This window comes from Homo sapiens, chromosome 10, assembly GCF_000001405.40.
Source record: "Homo sapiens chromosome 10, GRCh38.p14 Primary Assembly".
Classification (NCBI taxonomy): domain Eukaryota; kingdom Metazoa; phylum Chordata; class Mammalia; order Primates; family Hominidae; genus Homo; species Homo sapiens.
This window is the reverse complement of record NC_000010.11, coordinates 63887226-63907932: the sequence shown is the minus strand read 5'-3', so window position 1 is coordinate 63907932 and position 20707 is coordinate 63887226. Positions and strand designations below refer to the sequence as shown.

At 41.5% G+C, this 20707-nt stretch overlaps 1 long non-coding RNA gene and 1 pseudogene across 5 annotated transcripts in view; one reads left to right on the top strand and one right to left on the bottom strand.

The window, feature by feature from the left end:
- The window catches only part of LOC124902439 (uncharacterized), an 820351-nt gene that overhangs the window by 785007 nt on the left and 14637 nt on the right, over positions 1-20707 (bottom strand). For 4 of the 5 annotated variants that reach the window (XR_007062160.1, XR_007062164.1, XR_007062162.1 and 1 more), the window contains exon 1: positions 20257-20642. The exons of the other annotated variant lie outside the window; for it this stretch is intronic. This is a non-coding gene — a long non-coding RNA (uncharacterized LOC124902439). Of the gene's footprint in view, positions 1-20256; positions 20643-20707 lie in introns of those variants that run through there. 5 annotated transcript variants of the gene reach the window in all.
- On the top strand, positions 4668-5549 carry RPL7AP50 (ribosomal protein L7a pseudogene 50; annotated as a pseudogene).

Genomic DNA, 20707 nt, shown 5'->3' with positions numbered 1-20707 from the left:
TAGCAATAAAAAATAAATAAAACAATAAGAGCTTTCTATTTTCTGCTAGTATGAAATTTCTGACAGCTCATCTAACCCCTTGGTGTCCAGATCTCAGAAGCCACTTAATGAAACAATGGTTGTCCAAGACCAGAAAAACTCTGCAATAATAGTTTCCCTGCAAACCATGAGTCAAAATAAATAAGATATAGCCTGACACTCAGCCTCTCCTCCAAAGGTTTTAAAAAACCAAAGTGAGGGCTAACCTCCTCCATACAGGCCATGTCAGTTATCTGGACAACATCACAAAAGTATACACTGCTTGTTGAGTGAACTGAGCTCCAATCAACAGAGAAGCCTTCTTTGAGCTCCTGACAATTTAATTTAGCTTAACAATTACATCTGCAATTTGATCATAAAACCTTTCCCTCTTAATGGCCAATAAAAGTGATGCTTCCCCTAAGACATGGAATCTAACATGATTAAGGGGGGAAAAGAAGAGAGTCTAACTTATTTGATTCAACCAAACCTTCCCCTCAACGTTCACACCAGTTATCCATCCCAATCTCTATCAATCTTCTTTGTTGTGACTGCCTATTGATTAGATTGGCAATACACAGAGAACGATGTGTGAGTTCTCTCTGAATTGATCCTCAAGGCAGTGGAGAGAGTGTCTCCAAAGAGTTCTCCTTCTGTGGGGTTAAGGTGGAATTCAGAGCAGTTATTTGTTTTTCTGCTATTGAGTAACCATTTTACTATCTATATGTATCCCGTAACATCATGTCATTGTAAACCTTGAATATACACAATAAAATTTATTGTTTTTTTAAAAAAATATACAAATTCAACTCCCACAATGTGGAGGCCAGAGGTCCCAAATCAAGGTATCAGCAGGCTGCACTCCCTCTGAAGGCACTAGGGGAGAACCCCTCCTTGCCTCCTCCACTGCTGCTGGCTGCAGGCATTTCTTGGTTTGGGCTGCATAACTCCAGTCTCTGCCAACATCTTCACATGGGTTTCTTCTCTATGTATCTAATCTCCTTCTGCCTTCCTCTTATAAGGGCACCTGTTATTGAATTTAACTCCCATTGGGATTATTCAGGATGATCTCACCTCAAGATTCTTACTTACATATGCAAAGACCGTTTTTACAAATATGGTTATATTCACAGGTTTCAGGGGTTAGGACATCTTTTGGAGGTCACTCTATAATTCACTACACTGGTATTACCTGAAGTTCTTTCATTACATTTTTGCTTCCCCAGGCCACGATTAGATAGAGAAAAAAAAAAAAAAAAAAAAAAAAGGCCGGGCACCGTAGCTCACACCTGTAATCCCAGAATTTTGGGAGGCCAAGGTGGGCGGATCATCTGAGGTCGGGAGTTCAAAACCAGCCTGAGCAACATGGAGAGACCCCATCTCTACTAAAAATACAAAATTATATGGGCGTGGTGGCGCATGCCTGTAATCCCAGCTACTCAGGAAGGCTGAGGCAGGAGAATCACTTGAACCCAGAAGACAGAGGTTCGGTCTCAAAAAAAAAAAAAAACAAAAAACCATCAGCAGACTCTTTCCCCCTCTTTTCCACAATTCTTCCCCTGTAACAAGAATATGATAGTAGCTAACATTACTTGCCCTCTTTCCATGTATAGGCCACACTATAAGCATTTTTATGTTTTCTACATAAGGATTAAATTTAATCTTCATAAAAATCCAATGAGGTAAGCATCACCTTTATCCCCATTTTATAGATGAGAAAATAAGCAGAGGAATGTTAAGGAAACTTGTCATGTGTCCCCCAGCTGATAAGCAAATTAAACAAGGATTTGAACCCAGGCAGCTTACACCTTTTTTGACAACTTTATTGAGATATAATTCACATACCATATAATTCACCCATTTTAAATATACAATTCTATGGTCTTAGTGTATGTATATATAAATACATATTTTGTTTTGTTTTTTCAGACAGAGTCTCACTCTGTCCCCCAGGCTGCAGTGCAGTGGCACGATCTTGGCTCACTGCAACCTCCGCCTCCTGGGTTTAAGCGATTCTCAGGCCTCAGTCTCCCAAGTAGCTGGGATTAAAGGCTTGCGCCACCATGCCCGGCTAATTTTTTTGTATTTTTAATAGAGATGGGGTTTCACCATGTTGGCCAGGCTGGTCTCAAACTCCTGACCTCAGGTGATCCGCCCACCTTGGCCTCCCAAAGTGCTGGGATTACAAGCGTGAGCCACCATGCCTGGCCTTGGTCTTAGTATATTCATAGAGTTTTGTAACCATCACCACAATCAATTTTAGGATATTTTCATCACCCCAGAAAGAAAGACCTTATCCCTTAGCTGTCATCTCCCAATTCCCCATTCCTTAGGGCCCGGGAACTGCTAATCTACTTTCTGTCTCTATAGATTAGCCTATTCTGAACATTTCATATAAACGAAATCATATAATATGGCCTTTTGGGACTGGCTTATTTCCTTTAGCAGGAGGTTTTCAAGGTTCATCCATGCTGCAGCATGCATCAGTACTTCATTCCCTTTCACGGCCAAATAGTATTCCATTATATGGATATACCATATTGTGTGTATCCATTCATCAGGAGATGGACATTTGGATTATTTCCACTTTTTGGCAGCCTGTACTTTTAACTTCTATGCTCCAGGTATTTCCCTAATCTGAAGTAATTCTCTCCCCAGCAAGATCCATCACCATGAGCCAAGAAGATAAAATTACTCTAAAGAAAAAGTTTCAGGGAGATATTTAATGACTCAGAGTTTTCATCTAGAATAAATGGGAAATAAGTTGTGAAGAATAATTCTCTTGTTTGGCAACCCTTTATTATGTCTCCACAATCTCACCTGTACTTTTAACTCATCCTTGCACTTACCTGATTGTCATGAATGCCACAAACTATTATTAAGGGCAAACTGTGTATCAGGAATTATGGGACACAGAGATCCTAACTGACTTCCTCAAGTCCCACAGCTCATCAGGAGCAAAGCTAGTCAAGGAATCCACATCCCCTGCCCTTAGGATCATTGCTTTTTCCTTTGCACCACAGGGTCTTCCTTACCTGTCTGAATCCTTAATACTGCAACACTTATCTATCCAAGAGAATGCCTGAACCAGCACATTTCTTTAAACTTTTCAGTATAGACAAGTTTAACATATGTAAAAGTAGAGAGAATAACGTAATGAGCCCCCATGTTCCTTTCACTCTGCTTCAAGACAATTATCAACTCATAAGCTATTTTGTTTTATTCGAACCCCTCCTACTCCTCCAGCAGTGCGGTGGTAAATGCAAAACCATCAGCTCTCCCTGGAGAAATCCCTGATTTGTAGATTTCTGTGGCTGACTTCAAGTTACCAGCATGATGTTGCCAACGGAGGATTGGAAAGAGATGTGCAGAAGCACAGTTATATAGTATTTTCACCACATAGATATAATCAATGCAATAATTTCAGGAGCACAGATCATAGTAATTGTAGTAAAATAACTAGCAAGCAGTAAGTTTTGAGTATTTATTAGCTTCTTAAAATTTTTTTAAGTGTAAGTTCATAGAATTTAATTTTTAATAATGACTCTTTACCACCAGCTCACAAAATTCCTGAAATTCTGACAATCAATTATTTCCAACAAGTACAACCTGGCTCTACCTCACCACTGCACTCTTCCATCCACAGATTACTTTAATTCCAGACATTACATTACTTTATCCATAAATATTTTAGCACGTATCTCTAAAAGATAAAGACTTTTTAAAAACAGAACCACAATATTATTATCACCTGTAAAAACTTTAGGCTGGGCACGGTGGCTCACGCCTGTAATTCCAGCACTTTGGGAGGCCAAGTCAGGAGGATCCCATGAGCCCAGGAACTGGAGACCAGCCTGGGCAACGTAGGGAGACCATGTATCTATAAAAAAAAACAACTAAAAATCTGCCAGGTGTGGTGGCACATGCCTATAGTCCCAACTACTTGGAAGGCTAAAGAAAAAGGATTGTTTGGGCCCAGGAGATCAAGGCTGCAGTGAGCCATGATCACGCCACTGTACTCCAGCCTGGGTGACAGAGCAAGACTCTATCTAAAATAATAATAATAATAATAATTCCTTAATATTCCCTCATTGTTCCCTAACTGACATGTAAATTCTTAATAGTTTGTTTAATTTAGAATGCAAATAAGGTTCCTAAACCTTTCATTGATTCATGTGGCCCAGAACACTGTTTTAATTTACAGTTTCTCTCTCTCTCTCTCTCTCTCTCATGCTCCCTGTCTCTTTTTCCATGCAAGTTGTTTGTTTATTTGTTGAAGAAATGAGAGAGTGGTTGCCCTTTCAGTTTTCTTTATTGGCAAAAGCTCTAACCTGGTAATAGAACTGGATGTCCATAAAGTACAAAGCATCTGCTCTGGGAATTCCACTCCTATGGGCACTTGTGGCTTAGCTCTTTAGGGTGGGCATCTGCTGCTCATGACCAATAGAGTCCTGGCCATGAAAATCCTAGTCCTATAATATGAAAATGGAGTTTTTTTAAAAATACTGAAATCAAAACAAACAAGCACGTATTTGGATAGTTAAAACACGGAGAACAGCACTCCAGCCCCCACCACCTGATGGGGAAAGAAATACCTGCCACCACATTCACAAGCCCGCTATCACCAGCTTTCAAAAATGGCAAGCCCACTCTCCTCCCGCCGCCCAAGATGCCGAAAGGAAAGAAGGCCAAGGGAAAGAAGGTGGTTCCGGCCCCTGCTGTCATGAAGAAGCAGGAGGCTAAGAAAGTGGTGAATCCCCTGTTTGAGAAACGGCCTAAGAATTTTGGCATTGGACAGGACATCCAGCCCAAAAGACACTTCACCCGCTTTGTGAAATGGCCCTGCTATATCAGGTTGCAGCGGCAGAGAGCCATCCTCTATAAGGGGCTGAAAGTGCCTCCTGCGATTAACCAGTTCACCCAGGCCCTGGACCGCCAAACAGCTACTCAGCTGCTTAAGCTGGCCCACAAGTACAGACCAGAGACAAAGCAAGAGAAGAAGGCTGTTGGCCCAGGCCGAGAAGAAAGCTGCTGGCAAAGGGGACGCCCCCACCAAGAGACCACCTGTCCTTCGAGCAGGAGTTAACACCATCGCCACCTTGGTGGAGAACAAGAAAGCTCAGCTGGTGGTGATTGCACACGATGTGGATCCCATCGAGCTGGTTGTCTTCTTGCCTGCCCTGTGTCGTAAAATGGGGGTCCCTTACTGCATTATCAAGGGGAAGGCAAGACTGGGACGTCTAGTCCACAGGAAGACCTGCACCACTGTCGGCTTCACACAGGTGAACTCGGAAGACAAAGACACTTTGGCTAAGCTGGTGGAAGCTATCAGGACCAATTACAACGACAGATACAGATACGATGAGATCCGCTGTCACTGGGGCAGCAACGTCCTGGGTCCTAAGTCCGTGGCTCGTATCGCCAAGCTCGAAAAGGCAAAGGCTAAAGAACTTGCCACTAAACTGGGTTAAATGTACACTGTTGAGTTTTCTGTACATAAAAATAATTAAAATAATACAAATTTTCCTTCAAAAAAAAATGGCAAGCCCAGGTCACCTTTTGTCACATTCTAGCAAAAAGCAGCAGAAGCAGGGTTGTAAGGCAAAGAGAAGGCTGACTAGTTTGAGGAAGAGTTGGCAGGTAATACTAGAAAGCTCAACTGTCTGAGATCTCATTAGAAAACATCAACCTTGAAACTTCAGCTTTCTCCTTTCCCAAGGAGTTCTGTGTGGGCTGCTAGGGTTTCGGCACCAGTTGTCACTGCAAATGTCGTTTGGCAGGGGCAAGAAGCACAGGAATCTCTGACATGCTTCTGAAGGGTTTCAGAGATGAATCAGCGCTTCTGCATTTTTCTTCTTATTTTTTTTCTTCCCAAATATAGTACCGGGAATGAAAACCTCGCTCATCCTATTTCCCAAACTTGGCAGTTAAGACAGTTTTATTGCACTGCTTTATTAAAGCGTAGCCATAGATTTACATAATTAAACCAAGGTCTGCTTTTCTCTCCCCCTGCATCTACATCTGTCACTCACTGCAGTGTAGCATGGTAATTCCAGCTCCTCTGCACAAGTGAGAACTTGGGAGGCTTGGGGTGGCATCACCCCCTGGTACCAAGGAATATTCTCTGATGGAAAAAGAGATGATGAGTTTTGACCATGAGTGGAGATAAATAATTTCTTGCCTTTCAGCAGGAAGCTACTGGGTCTTTTTCATTGCCTCTTAGAGCTGAAAGGGCCCTTGAAAATAATCTCATATAGAGGGTGCAATCTGGTAATTTGGGCCTGATTTGGCCCACATATTTTTTAATTTGGCCCTTGTAATGTGTATGTTTGCTTTTCATTTGAATTAGTTATCAATACTTAAAATTGAGAAATTCATATAAAAAGCCAAATTTAGGGCTTTTCTTGAAAAACTTGTTAGTGTTGTCCATGTGGGGGCCTTCATTTCCTGCACACCAGGCACCTCTGAGCTGACCAGCAGCTGCCCCCTTCAGGTAGGGCAGCGATCTGCAGTTACTCACAGTTGTCCCCACTCCTCTATCTCTGCATCCACCTGCAGTTCGCACGTACCTGACCCTGTAAAAATTTGAGTTTGTAAACTCCTTCACATTACAGGTTAAGAAGAGAAACTCCACACAGATTCCTAAGTAGTTAATGACAGATCCCAGGTTTCCTGACTCCAAACAGTATGAATAACCATTTATTTGATGGAGGTGTCCAAAGACCTGAATTCTGACTCCAGCTCCATCGCCTATTGGCTGCGGCATCTAAGCTCAAGATTGAACCTCACTGACACACACATTTCCTCATCTGTAAAATGGGGCTGATGGTAGCATGTTGTCCACCTCACTGGGCTTATGAGGACTAATGTGTTTATGGAAAAGTTGAGAAAAGGCAAAAACCCTATATAATCTTATGCTTAATATTATTAGTGGTATTTTCATGATAATATTTTCATTTGCAATTTCCAGCTCACAAATGTCTACATTATTCCAAAATATTATTTATTAAGTACACCCCTCAATTCAACTCAATGAGTCCTTACTAAGCATCTACTATGTGTCCAGGCTTATATGTTGATGTGCAGAAATACACGGGGAGATGAGATTGTAAGAACACAGTATAAATGAAATGACTGACAAAATATGTGGCATATAATACATAATACAAGTTATAAGTCTGTATGTTGCTTAAATAACATAAGATGGCTCCCAGAATTACATTTCCATAAGATGGCTCCTAGAACCTCAGAAGCCTGAGATAAGAACCTTTGCATTCTCTATTCTACAGTGTAACAGCAGCAGCATAAGTACTACCAATTATTGAATACCCATAAATGCACCAAGCACTGATCAGAGCACTTTACATGAATTATCCCCATTTAATTCCTCACCAACTCTATGGGGTAGGTGCTTCTTTATTCTGCTTTTCCAATTGAGGAAATTGAGACACAGAGGTCAAGTGACTTGCCCAAGGTCACACAGTAAGCAATGGAGCCAGTAATCTGAGCCATGCTCTTACATACACCAGTGTGCTGCTTCTCTCACTCCCACTCTGAATCAAGCTCCCTGTGACTTCCTTTAATCCTCCACACACACTCTCTGCCCTACCCCAACTCCAAGTCTCTTAAGCTCATTTCCTTGACATTTTTTAACCCCTCCAGCCCTCTCCTTTCCTCTACCAGCTTCTGCCTCTCCATTTCCTGTCACAGTCAAGCAAGCCCAGTCAGGAATATTTTCCCTCCTGCCTAGACCAAATTGTAATCATCACAAAGATGATTGTTTACTCATTGCCCTCATCACACTAATGCTTATTAGGCTCACATTACTGCTGAAAGGGAGTGTGACTTGATCTTCAGTGAGTCATTAAGTGCAACCAACACTCACCAAAGGAATTGTAAATTGATGGTTGTGATAATCCTCCTAATAATCAGTTTCTTTTTGATGACCTCCTTGTTATCAGCAAGTATGTTGAGTTGTTATAGAACCTTAATAGTCCCTGTGTTGGCAAGCCAGCCTTCTGGAGAGAGAGTCCAAAATGCACCGTGGATATGCATTTCGTGAATATGCGGGTGGGGTTACATGCACACAGATATTGATTTAAATTCTGCCTGGTTCCATAAACTACAACAAGATGCTACAAAAGAAAAGCAGGTGGAAAAGGAAAGAAAAGCAAACAAAGGATCACAAACTGGGACCAGAAGTAAAGCTAAAACTGCATAAGCACAGACACTACCATAGGCCACAGATTTGCCTCTTATGTTTTCAAGAGCCCACTGTGAAAGGAACAACTTGGTCATTTATTTCACTAACGGGTCTCTAATAAAAATATCTAAAATGGTTGGTGTAAGAAGTACAATTAATATTAACAAGACCACAAGGGAATTTCACCTGTAGAGTCCTTATAAGAGAGACTTTATAGAAAGTAAACAAGCAATGACCTCAGTAATACCCTTACAAGACTCACAAGGATAAGAGTCATCTGTCTTTCGCCTACCTTCATTGTAGATGATGGTAACATAGCCAAGCACAATTCAGAAAAAGTGATTCTTGGGGTAGGAGGAGGAGGAGGGATGAAGGTGCGCAAAAGGTTGAATCTGCATATATTAATATATGTTAGTACATATTATATATGCGTTAATATGTAATTTTTTTAGTTGTTACCAAAATGTACCAATTAAAGGGATATCTGTTATACTACCTGCAAGTATAGTGAAAATATTAGCCAGCAACTAAGATTCCTACAACTGGTAAGTATAATCATAACTGAGTTTGCTTCCTGACCATGCCTCTCTTAAAATCATGGTAAATCTAAAAACATTACTAGTTCCAATGTGTATGCCTCTGCCTCTTATTTCCCCAGAGCTCACAGTTTTCCCTGTGAGCAGACAGTCTGTGATTAAATACTTGGGCTCAGGAACCAAGCAGCTTGAGTTTCAATCCTTACGTCCTTTATGACTTTGAGTGGGATATTTGACCTTTTTATGCTCTCATTTTTTGTAAAATGGAGGTTCCTAATAGTCTCTACTTCATAAGGTTATTGCAAAGATTAAATATTAATAGATGTAAAACCCATGAAGAGTGCCTGGTACACAATAAGCACTCACAATAAATATTGCCATTGTTGTTGTTGTTGTTATCATTATTCCATGAAACTGAGTCTTAGTTTTTGTGTGCTGCCTTCTCACTAAACAAGAGCCATTGATTAGGAAGATCATGGGTCTCTGGGGGCTTTCCTTCAGAAAGAACTTGATAATACTATCAGTAATCTCTAGTTATTCCATGATTTGCCTCCCAATTAGATTGCAAGTTCTATAGCATAATAGATATTACATAGTCCAGCCTTCTCATTTTACATTTGCTGGAGAAAACAGATTGTCAGTGCAACTAAGTAATCTCCAAGGTTAAACAGCCAGTGACTGGCAAACCAGATCAAGAAATAAAACCAGCTGGGCACAATGGCTCACGCCTATAATCTTAGGCACATTGGGAAGTTGATGCGGGAGGATGGCTTGAAGCCAGGAGTTCAAGACCAGCCTGGGCAACATAATGAGAGTCCATCCCTACAAAAAAAATACTAAAATTAGCTGGGTGCAGTGGCATGCACCTGTAGTCCCAGCTACTTGGGAGTGGCGGGAGGATCACTTGAGCCAATGAGTTTGAGGCTGCAGTGAGCTCTGATGGTACCACTGCACTCCAGCCTGGGTGAGAGAATGAGATCGTGTCGCTATAAAAAAATAAAATTAAAAATTAAAATAAAAAAAAAGAAGTAAAATCACTTGACTTCCAGTCTAGTCCTTTTACCATTAGGGCATCTGTCATCCCACCAAACCTATGACACACAGCAGCCTCTTCTACTTTCTTATCTATTTCTTAGTATAATGATGATTCTCAAATGTTCCTTGCCTACCCAGACCCTTCTCCAGTGCCACCCAGCCAACCACCTGCCTAACACTGTCACCTGGTCATCTCACAGGCATTTCAAATTCTACTTGTTCTGATGAAACTCATCTTCTTCTCTAATATGAAAATTCCCCTGCATTTTCTCTCCCTACTGTCCACACAATAACACACGCAGAAAAATCAAATTTGTCCCTGATTCCTCCCTCTCTCTTATCCCATATACCCAGACTCTGCAAGCATTGCTTACAACACCTACAAATTATTTCCCAAATGTGTCCTTTCCTAATAATCCCTAAATCACTGCCTTAATTTGGTTTAAACTTTTCTGCAGCCATTCGACTTGTTCCTCTTAAGAAATTATAAGCTCTCAAGAAAAGCAGAAAGTAAATAGCACTTACTGAGCCCTTATTGCATGCCCAGACACTGTGCTAGGAGCTTATATGTGCTGTGATCACGACTCACATGGTATCCTAATTTTACAGATGAGGAAACCGAAGCTCATTCAAACTGTTTATAAATGCTGGAATGATGTTTGAAAACCAACAAGAGCTATTGTAACAGCCTAAAACTATTGTTATCAGAGCCTATTACAACTCTAAACCCAAGGGAAAGAGGAGGGAGTAGTTACCAGTACCCAGAAGAGAGAGTAGCTGTATGGGAAAGGCCTTCCATCAGGAGCTGTGGCATTTAGTAGAGGCATGCAGCCAACCACAACGAATAGGTAAGGAGAGAACTGGAAAAAAAACTATCTTGATTCCCTCTCCTCCTTCCATCAGCCAAATCCACCTGGAACCTGAGTAGCAAGACAGCTCATCAGTGAAATCCATGAGTCAGCCTCCGCAGTCCCAGAACAGGGTATCGAAGACAGAAGGTAGATCTAGAGAGGCAAACAGAAGAAATCCAGCAGCACATACAACTCGTAAACGATGGAGCCAGGATTTAAACTTAAACCTCAGTGGTTCTGCATTCCTTCCTACAAGTCTATGAATTTATAATATTGTGAGGTTTCTATGGGCAGAGAATATTTCTGTCATATAGGAAGCATTGAGTAATTATTTACTGAACTGAACTGAAACTAGACAGAATCTAATTTCATGGCCCAAGTGAGCAGGGCCTCTCCTTGGAAGCTTTGTAAACTGAGTTATATATGTTTAAGTGTTCACTTATCTCCCTTTCTTAAATCACTCTACCTTACACTGGAGTAAACCTTTCTATAAAGGGCCAGAGAGTAAATATGTTCAACTTTGCAGGCCATATAGTCTCTTGTCACTACTACACCACTCTTCACTTCACTCAGAGTGAAGGCAGCCGTTGACAATACATAAACAAATAGGCATGGCTGTGTACCAATAAAACTTTACTTTTGGAATGTGAAATTTGAATTTCATACAATTTTCATGTGTCACAAATATTATTCTTTTTTAGAATTTTTTCAACCATTTAAAACTGTAAAAAAAATTATTAACTCACAGGTTATGGAGAAATAGGCAGTAGGCCACATTTGGGATGTGGGCCAAAATATGCTAAACTGTGTCTTAATGAGTCCATCTGAATGCTCAGGAAATCCTCTGGGGCAGATCATCACACTTGTAAGGCCCTTCCTGACTACCATGCCTGTTTAAAACCTTATCTGACCTGTGCCTCATCTCCTCCAAGTCTTGTCAACTAACCACGCTCATCTGAAGAAGTAGTCCAGAGTGAGGGCTTACCTTGTGATTATGAGGTACTCTCTGCTCAGTGAAAACCACTGTGGTAGCTGCCATTTATTAGCTCTTACAATGTGCCAGTGACTGTACTAAGCACTTTACATGGATGATCCTATTTAAACCTCACAACAACTCAAATCAAATTCCAAACAGCAGCAGCATAAATGATTAAAGCAAGCCAGAGATAATGGTGGGGATATTGGCAAGTAAGAGCATAATGCTCTGTCTGAAAGGAACTTTACTGCCAAAAACCAAAAAAGGCACTGAAGTGAATATAGAGGCATATGACTGAAGGACTGAGATGGTCTTGCTGAGGTCACTCAACCATGAAATAAGGGAACTTCTGCCTAAGAAGGAGGGTATCCTTATTTCCCAGGGTAGATGGACATTTATCTGCCCTTATCAATAAGGGGGAATAGCAGTGGGATTTAGAGGCTTTAAAGTCTCATTCCCAATGTGCATGTAAAAGTATAATCCCTGCCTTTCCAACACTTCTAAAAAGCATTAGCTCTAGAAAGACAATGAGAGTGGAAAGAGCACAGATTCTGGTAATCCTACAATCCTGACTCTAGGATTTAGACAAGGGGAGATCTCAGATAAATTAGTCTTTGGGTTTCAATATAACATCTACCTTACAAGATAATAGTGAAGATTAAATGAGAGCATGTATGAAAATATGAGCAAAATGCCTAACTTGTAGTAGCCATGTAAAGCGGGTCTCAGTACATGGGAGGTAGGAACAATCTCTCTTGGTCTAAGCTTAGGTTTTACTGAGCCAAGCTTTCTCCTAAAGAGCAGCTCAGAGAAAGAACTCCAAACACTTCTCCCGCAGACTCATCCTGTGAATCCAGTCCAGCTCAGGATGCCATACAACAATTCATAGCTGACAGTTCACTTTCTGAGGGAGCTGGTAGAATATGATGAGTTTCAAAGTCATTTGCACTAACCCGGCTTGGAATTTACTCAGAGTTTGTACACTTTGAAAAGCTTTCATATCCTCGGTTTGCACCCCAGAAAGAATAACAAATTTCATTTTGAGGTTGACAAACCTCCTTTATCCATCCCAGGCTCAACCACCTAGAAATCAGAGCCTTTGGACTAGGAATTGATTGTTGTCAGCTTGTCAAGAGAAATCATACTCAAAGAGACTATTTCCTCACTGTCCCTGCCAGCACCATCAGCCTGCATCACCCCACACACCACCATCACCTATTTGTTTCCCCCATTTGCTTTTACTGTATAACAATCATTACAAACATCTCTTCCATACCACATCACCCATTGTAAGTACTTAAGAACAGGGGGGACCACGGCTTATCCTTCTTCGGTGACACCATATCACTTGATGAAACGGTGCAGGTACAAAATTGAGGGACTCAGATGCCCAGGTAAAGAGTTCAAATATCAATCTGAAGAAGAGAGAAAGGCCATTGATGGTTTTGGATTAGAAGTAATATAGCATGGTCAATGCAATATTTGGGGGAATTTTCTCTGACAGTACATACATGAAACATTGGAAAGAGGGAAAATAAGAGAAGAAAAAAATTAAAATCCAGCAGACCCATTAAGAAATAATTATAATCAGTGAAGCCTGAGATAGTGAGTGTCTAAAATACAATCGTAGCAACAAACAGGGAGAGGAAAGGATGGTTTTAAACACATTCTGAAGATGGTGAACTACAGTATCCTCCAGGGTAGGAACCACAGCTGAGTTATCTTTGTGACTCCATTTACTCAGGACTGATATGCAGCCAACATCTGCCAATGCAGCTCTACCAGCTGTTAAAATACTGAAACACTTCATTACTTGTGAATATTGAAAGCACCCCTTTCCTGAAACCATGACCCACCCAACCCCGTGCATGCCCCACCACCTTAGCCCTCCTGGAACTCCCTGAAACAATGCCTCTTCCAAATCCAGGAACTGAAGAGTTTACGCCTAGCGCAAGCGAAGGCTTTGAGGACCTTGCTCCTGTGCTAAAGCTGATATAATTTCTGATTGGACAGTCTCCTTGCTGACTGTTACATAAAATCATGCCTTTCTGTTTAGCCCAGCTCCTGGTATACAGTAAGTCATGAAGGAAAGAAGGAAGTGATGGGAGAAGGGAAGGAGGAAGGAAGAGAAAGACAGAAGGAAAAAGAAAGGAAGGAAAGAGAGGAGGAGGAAGGGAGGGTAGGAGAGGAGGAGGAAGGGACAGTGGGAGAAGAAGAGAAAGGAAGAAAGGAACAGATTTTGATGACTGATTGGATATGGAAACAAATGAGCAAAGAAGTCCTATACAACCATGGTCATACAGACTTATGTGGCTGTGTGGTTATTGTTTTCTTTCAGAAAAAGGGAAGCAGAAGGAATAGTTAGGGCGAGATAAAGAAGGGTATGTTCTCTTAAAAATAAACTGCATTTGAGCAAAAGCTCATATGGGAGAAATAAAAATCAGGAAGGATTGGTTGGAAGCTGTGTAGTCCATTCATTCCTCTCTATACTCTAAAATCTACCTCTTGGATAGCCCAGGCCAGAGGAGAGCTGTGAATCTTATGGACATCCTTCAAGAAACTTCTTTAGGCTCTTGAGGTCCAGTGATTGTTCTACTTCTGAGAAGCTGGATGGCTTTTATTATACAGACAATGAACTGTGTAACTAATCTTAGTTAGTCCTGTAAAGCCAAATCTGTGGTCCTCCTGCAGCATGTGTACCTCTGGGGAATCCACTCTATGGCCCTATTCTTGTTTTTCTTATTTTTCCCCACCCATCTCTAATTTGTGTTATCTTGTTACATGACATGTAAGCTCACTTAAACTGTTTTTGAACAAAGAGGGGAGTAAGGTAACTCATACTGAATTTGAACTAAAGATGGGATATTCCAATGAAAATATCCAGTTGATCCAAATGTCCAAAATCAGTTCTTCATTGGGTTTCAGTGTGTGGGAGGCACTGTGAGAACTGCATAGATGTGGAAGACATGACCTCTCAGAGCTCACAGTCTTTGGAGACAATGAAAATAAGCATACATCAGAAAAGATGGCACAATCTGTCAAGTAGCACTTGATTAACTGCAGAGTGAATATCACTTGTAAGTACTTGAAGGAGAGAGTGAAATCCATGTTAGTCATCCCTTGTGTCCTATGTGCTGAAAATGTCCCTCGGTGCTGCTATACAATACAAGGATGGGGCTTCTGCGCCTTGGAATTTCATTTTATTTGGTATGTGAGCACCACTATGGTTGGATTCTCTCCAAACCTGCAGATACACATCGCCCTTGTTATTTTGGGTGCTTTGTTTTGTTTTGTGGGGATACCCCACTGATTTGATGACGTGGCTGCTCATTCTCAAAACACAGGCAAAAGAATGGAAAGGCAAGGGAAACCCAAACAGTGAGCCCAGAGGAAAGATAGAAATGAATTTATTAACAAAATATACCAACTATCTAAAGCAGTCATGTGCCATCAACACAAATTAATTATCAAAAGATGATTAGAAATGTATGGTGAAAGAGACAAAGAAAACCTGTATTTGCCTCTAAATAGCCATTACCTCTTTCATCCTCATTGCCTTTTTTGTAAAAACAGTAAAAGCAAATCCTTGCCACATTCTCCCTGAAACCAGAGGTCTTCCAGGTAGGCAGCCTCATGTCAGCATTCCAAATGATAGAAGGATAAGTCATGGCCCCAGCCTCATGGGGCTGTGTGGGTCCCATGAAAAAATTCTCTAAAAGCTCTTGGAAAATGTACCAAATGCTACATACACATGCCCAGGAATTTATTTTTAGGGTGGAAACAAACAGGTCCTTTAAGATGTCTTCAGCAAGCTGAGGCAATTCCAGATCAAGAAAGGCAGATAATTCTGGAGTCACGTGCCTTTTCTAAAAGTTCAGAGCTGGAAACCATTCCAGAAGCCCTATGCAAAGGTCTAGCACCCCATGAGTAGATAGAGAGATACCATCCGTCTACAGGAAATAAAAGGTCATTTAGACAAGCTTGCCAGAACAAAAGTTTAAATTCCAAGATTGGCTTTCTCTAAGCAAAAATGTGCCAATGTCTCCAGTCTCATTCTATGCTCATAGGTGCTTGTTTCCCACACCTGGAGAACCCCTCTCTCTTGGATCTACCTCCCCACCAGACCCTAAAGAATGCCAAGAAGTGACCCACTCAAAAACAGTCTCTGAGAACCTACAAAGTCCCAAGCACTGTGCTTGGCACTGTGAATACAGAACTGAAACAAGGTCTTGATTTTCTAAAACCAGAGATTCTAGTGAGGCTACAAGCCAGCAAATTAGCAATCTCAAAACAGAAGGTTGCTCTGAGATGGTAAGCAATGGTGGCAACAAGAGTATTGAGGGACATAGCCAACCTAAGAGCAAGGAATGGCAGCCCCAGCCATGGCAGCTCAGGAGCCAGCCTGATGACATGACATTTGTCCTTTGGCTGTGAAGGGCTGCAGCAGCTTCAAAAGCTATGTCAACCACACAGAGGCCTGGAGACCAAAAGGAAGCTCTGAGAATTCCCTGTAAAATATGCAAAAGATGGTAGCTCCAGCTGAGCAGATGCTCAAGAGAAGCCCCAACTGTGTCGTTAACAGTAATGTCGTCTTTTGCCAAGTCCAAGAAGCCTCTCCTCGGCCTGTAGCCCCACACGTTTATGAGGATTCTCCTCCACCTACCCCAATGCTCCCCTGAATCAACACCCCCATGGAGCACCCCAATGGGTGTTTCCCTCCCTTTAAAGCTCAAAAAGGAAAAATAAAAGGTAAGATGCAAAAAGATTAACATTTTCAAAGTAAAGTTTTTTTAAATCTGACTTTTCTGAAGCCCCTTGGTGCCTCCCTCTGGTTCACCATGAATGACCAGGACAGACAGATTCCAGCCACCTTGGGATCCCAGCCATACCAAAAAGGACCAAGGGAGTGACAGATAAGTGGGAAACTAAAGAAAAATATGTGGAATTTTCAGGCTGAACTGAGAGCCTGAAATTCCTTAAAGAGTGAAATATAAATACTCATTGTCAAAGGCCATATATGTAAATTCAGCAATTTGTTGAGAAATAGAACTAGTTGTAAACTTAATATTAATAGGAGCTAGGGATAAAATAAGACATAACTCTTGCTTTCACAGAGGTGACAGGTGAGACAATAAATAAACCATGACCCTAGAGAGTAAGTATTAATAACAGACATACAAGATACTGAGAGAAGGGAGAGTAATTAAATGGAACAGGGACAAAGGGGAAAGAAGGAGGAGGGCAGATCATGGCAGACTTCCTAGAGCAGTTGACTTTTGAGTTGACTAATTAATGCTAAAATATGAATGGCCTGTACACAAACATTTATAGCAGCATTATTCATAATAGCCAAGAAATGAAAACAATCCCAATGTCTGTCAGCTGATGAATGGATAAACAAAATGTGATATATCCATATAATGAATATTATTCAGCCATTAAAAAAATGAAGTATTGATACATGCTATGACATAGGTAAACCTTGAAAACATTACACTAAAAGAAGCCAGAAACAAAAGACCATAGATTGCATGATTCCATTTATATGAAATTTCTAGAATAGGCAGATGCATAGAAACAGAAAGTAAATTAGTAGTTGCCTAGGGCTGGCATTTTGGGAGAAATGGGTATGGGTTTTCTTTTGAGAGTAATGAAACTGTTCTAAAATCGATTATGATGATAGATGCACAACTCTGTGAATACTCTAAAAACCATTGAACTATACACTTTAAATGGGTGAATTGTATGTGAATTACATCTCAATAAACCTGTTTTTTAAAAATGCAAGTAGCCTCTTATGCCTTAATTATTAGTTGATAACTGCTTGTCTGCAGGTACTTTGAAAACTTCACCTCAATGGTCTGAGAAACGCAGGTACTTTCAATAGACAGAAAGAGTAAAGGAGATATTCTGGTCACCAGGTCTCCTGCTTTGCCCATGCCAGGAGCACACCGGCATTTCCCCGTGCCTGAGCAGGCTACCTCTCTCCTTACCATCATCAGTCTGTTCCTATGACAATTTGCATTAGCCCTATTTGGAGGTCCTCGGAGACATCCCTTTGTGCACTAGTCATGTGGAACAGCAGGCTGGAAATACTAAAATGCTCATTACTGCATGGAAAAATGATCTCAGGCTAATTCTTAAATGAACATTTGATTCAGTATAAGTCTGATATAATCTCTCCTCTTTCTGACAATGATTCCACTATGCTACCATCTGCAGAATTCCGCTTTCTCTCTGAAAGCAACTTCCTGCCTGGATAATACAGTCAGTGGAAACGCAAAAGGAGAGCCATATGTCACAATACATGCACATTGCATTCCATGCTCGCTCTCTTGTCCCACTATTATTTTTCATGCCAGTCACTAGTTATGAGCGTTTGTTGCTTTAAATGACTTCCTCCAAAGATATGCTGGATTCAAATTCAATTAGAAGTGGAAAGGAAAAACACAGCAAGCAGCTTTCTCCTTATGTCCAGCTCAGTAGGAACTCAGATTCTGAATACTGCCCAGGAGATCTTTAGCCATCTTTCCTCACATACGGTTTCCTTTTCCTATAATTTAAAAGGACTAGGATGAATGAACAGACACCTGAACAATTCTGTGGGCTAAGCAGAACCCCCAGGAGTCAAATCTGTAGGTTGAATTCTCCAAGTTCATACAACAGACGCTCCAGTTAATTTTCTCATGTGACCCGCATTCCTTCCCAGACTATCTTTCCTGCAGTCTTTTTTAAGCAGACAAGAGCCCATGGAACCCGCCCTCTGACACACTGGATTGAAGCGGAAGGAGCACCTGGGATAATCAATGTCTCTCTCCCGAAAATGTGGAATTGGAACAAAGAGACTATATATAGTGAGTTGAATTTGGATGTGGGAGCTTAAAGGTCACGTTTGGTGGAGGGTAGAGGGAAGAGCTGGGCCAGCCATTTCTTAAAGTGTACAAGAAGCAACAAAGAAACCCATGTGGGGTGGAGAAGAGAACAAAGCCAAGAGAAGAAGGAGTCTGAGAAAAAAAAAATGTAGTGATCTCCCTAACTCTAGGTTTCTCATCCTCAGCATTATCAACACTTGGGGCTGGATCATTCTTTGTTAAGGGAACTGTGCTGTGCACTGTAGGAGGTTTAGCAGCGTCTGTGGCCTCTGCCCACTAGAAGTCTGTAGCTCACATCTCCCACCCCAGGGTAAAAAACATAACTATCTCTATACATTGCCAAATGTCCCCTAGACAGCAAAGTCGCCTCAACTTAAGAACCACTGCCCTGACTAAACATTTGTTTATTTATCCCTCAACAGGCATTATGCAGGGCAAAACCCAAGTCATCCTCAACTCTCATCATTCATATCCTGCATCCAATCCATAATTAAAATCAGCCACCTCTGCCTTTGAAATATACCCAGAATCCAATCATTTCTCATGACATTCATTTTGACAACTCTGGTCCAAGCTACCCTCATCTCTCCCTGAATTATCCCCAAAGCCTCCCACCTGGCCACCCTCACTCTACCCTAGCCCGCACCAGAACATTTTCATATAGCAGCCAAAGAGAGCCTTTTAAAATGAAAGTCTCCTCATGTCACTCTCCTACTTCAAACCCACCAAGGTCTTCTATCACTATAAGGACCAGTCAGAGTCTTTATATTGGCCTATAAGATCCTTGAAGATTTTGCCCCCACTTGTCCCTCTAATTCACTTCTTACTGCTATCCCCCTTACTCATTCCACTCCAGTTCCGTTGACCTCCTTGCTGTTCCTCAAACATGTTAAGCACATTCCTGTCTCCAGGCCTTTGCAAAGGCTGTTCCCTCTGCCAAGAATGCCTTTCCCCCAGATATTTGGCTTGCTTCCTCATGTCATTCAGATCTCTACCCAAATGTTTCCATATCAGAAGGGCTTCTGTGATTACCCTTTTTGAGATAGCAACTCCCATTGCCTCTCTTCCCTACCACCCCTACCCTGCTTTACCCCATGTATTCATTGTGTTTGTTTATTATCTGTCTCTCCATCTAGAATATAAACTCACAAGAGCACAGCTTTGCCTTGTTTACTGCTGTGTCCACCAGCCTCTGACCTAAGCAGTGATGGCGCTGCTGAATGATGTGCGGACTACTGTGAGTGCAAAGATGATCACTCTATTGCTTTATCAGAGCAAAACTGGAAATAATCTAATTCTCTAACAATGAGGCAATGGTTAAATAAACTATGACTTATATGTGCAGCGATTTAAAAACTTATGTATTCAAGGTTTCCCAGGTTAAATTGAAATCTTGCCAGTAAACCCTAACATAACTTCCACCAACTCCACAAAATACTTGTGGAACCCAGACATAAATGAAAACTGATGTAACTGAAAACTAGGGTTGTATATCAACCTGTTCCCAGAATCTGGGAGGAATTTTCATTAATAACAAAGAAAATAAAACCAGACTCTCTTGTAACTTCCAGAAACAGAGTCTGTACACTTGAAAGTAGGTAGATGTACTTGTCAGTACTCCCTACTTCCGGCTCCCTGAATTAATCAACTAGTATTTACTGTGCAAATACCAAATATTGAAAGCTGTCCAAAATGCTTTAAGGTTATAAAGATGTCTCAGACCTTAATAATAATCACCAGAGCAGTAACTATTATGCCACCCTACCTTTGAATGCTCTGCACTGCTGAAGCACACACACTCCAACAGGGACTATCTTGCGTGATCTTCATGATTGCACTGAGACAGGCAGAGGAAGGTTTGCTTTCCTGTTTGACCTCTTTTCAAGAAAAATTTATCAGACTGGGATAAAAACAGGGTGTTCATCTGAAAAGATTGTCCCAGCTGGAGTATGTACTGAGAGGTGTGCAGAGGAAAGAAAACCACTACACGTGGATGAAGCATCCAGCGACTGCCATCAGAGGGAGCCATCACAACACGCAGACCGGAAGGTGCAAAGGGAGGCAATAGCGCCACGGGAGCCCAGCGAGGGCCCCCAGCCGCAGCAGTGCGGCTGCGCAGTGGGAGTTGTAGCCATGGGAACAACCTAGGGACCTGGCAAGGAAAGACTAGGCCAGACCTTAGCACCCCCTGTCAGGGACTTCCTGCTGGTTAATCC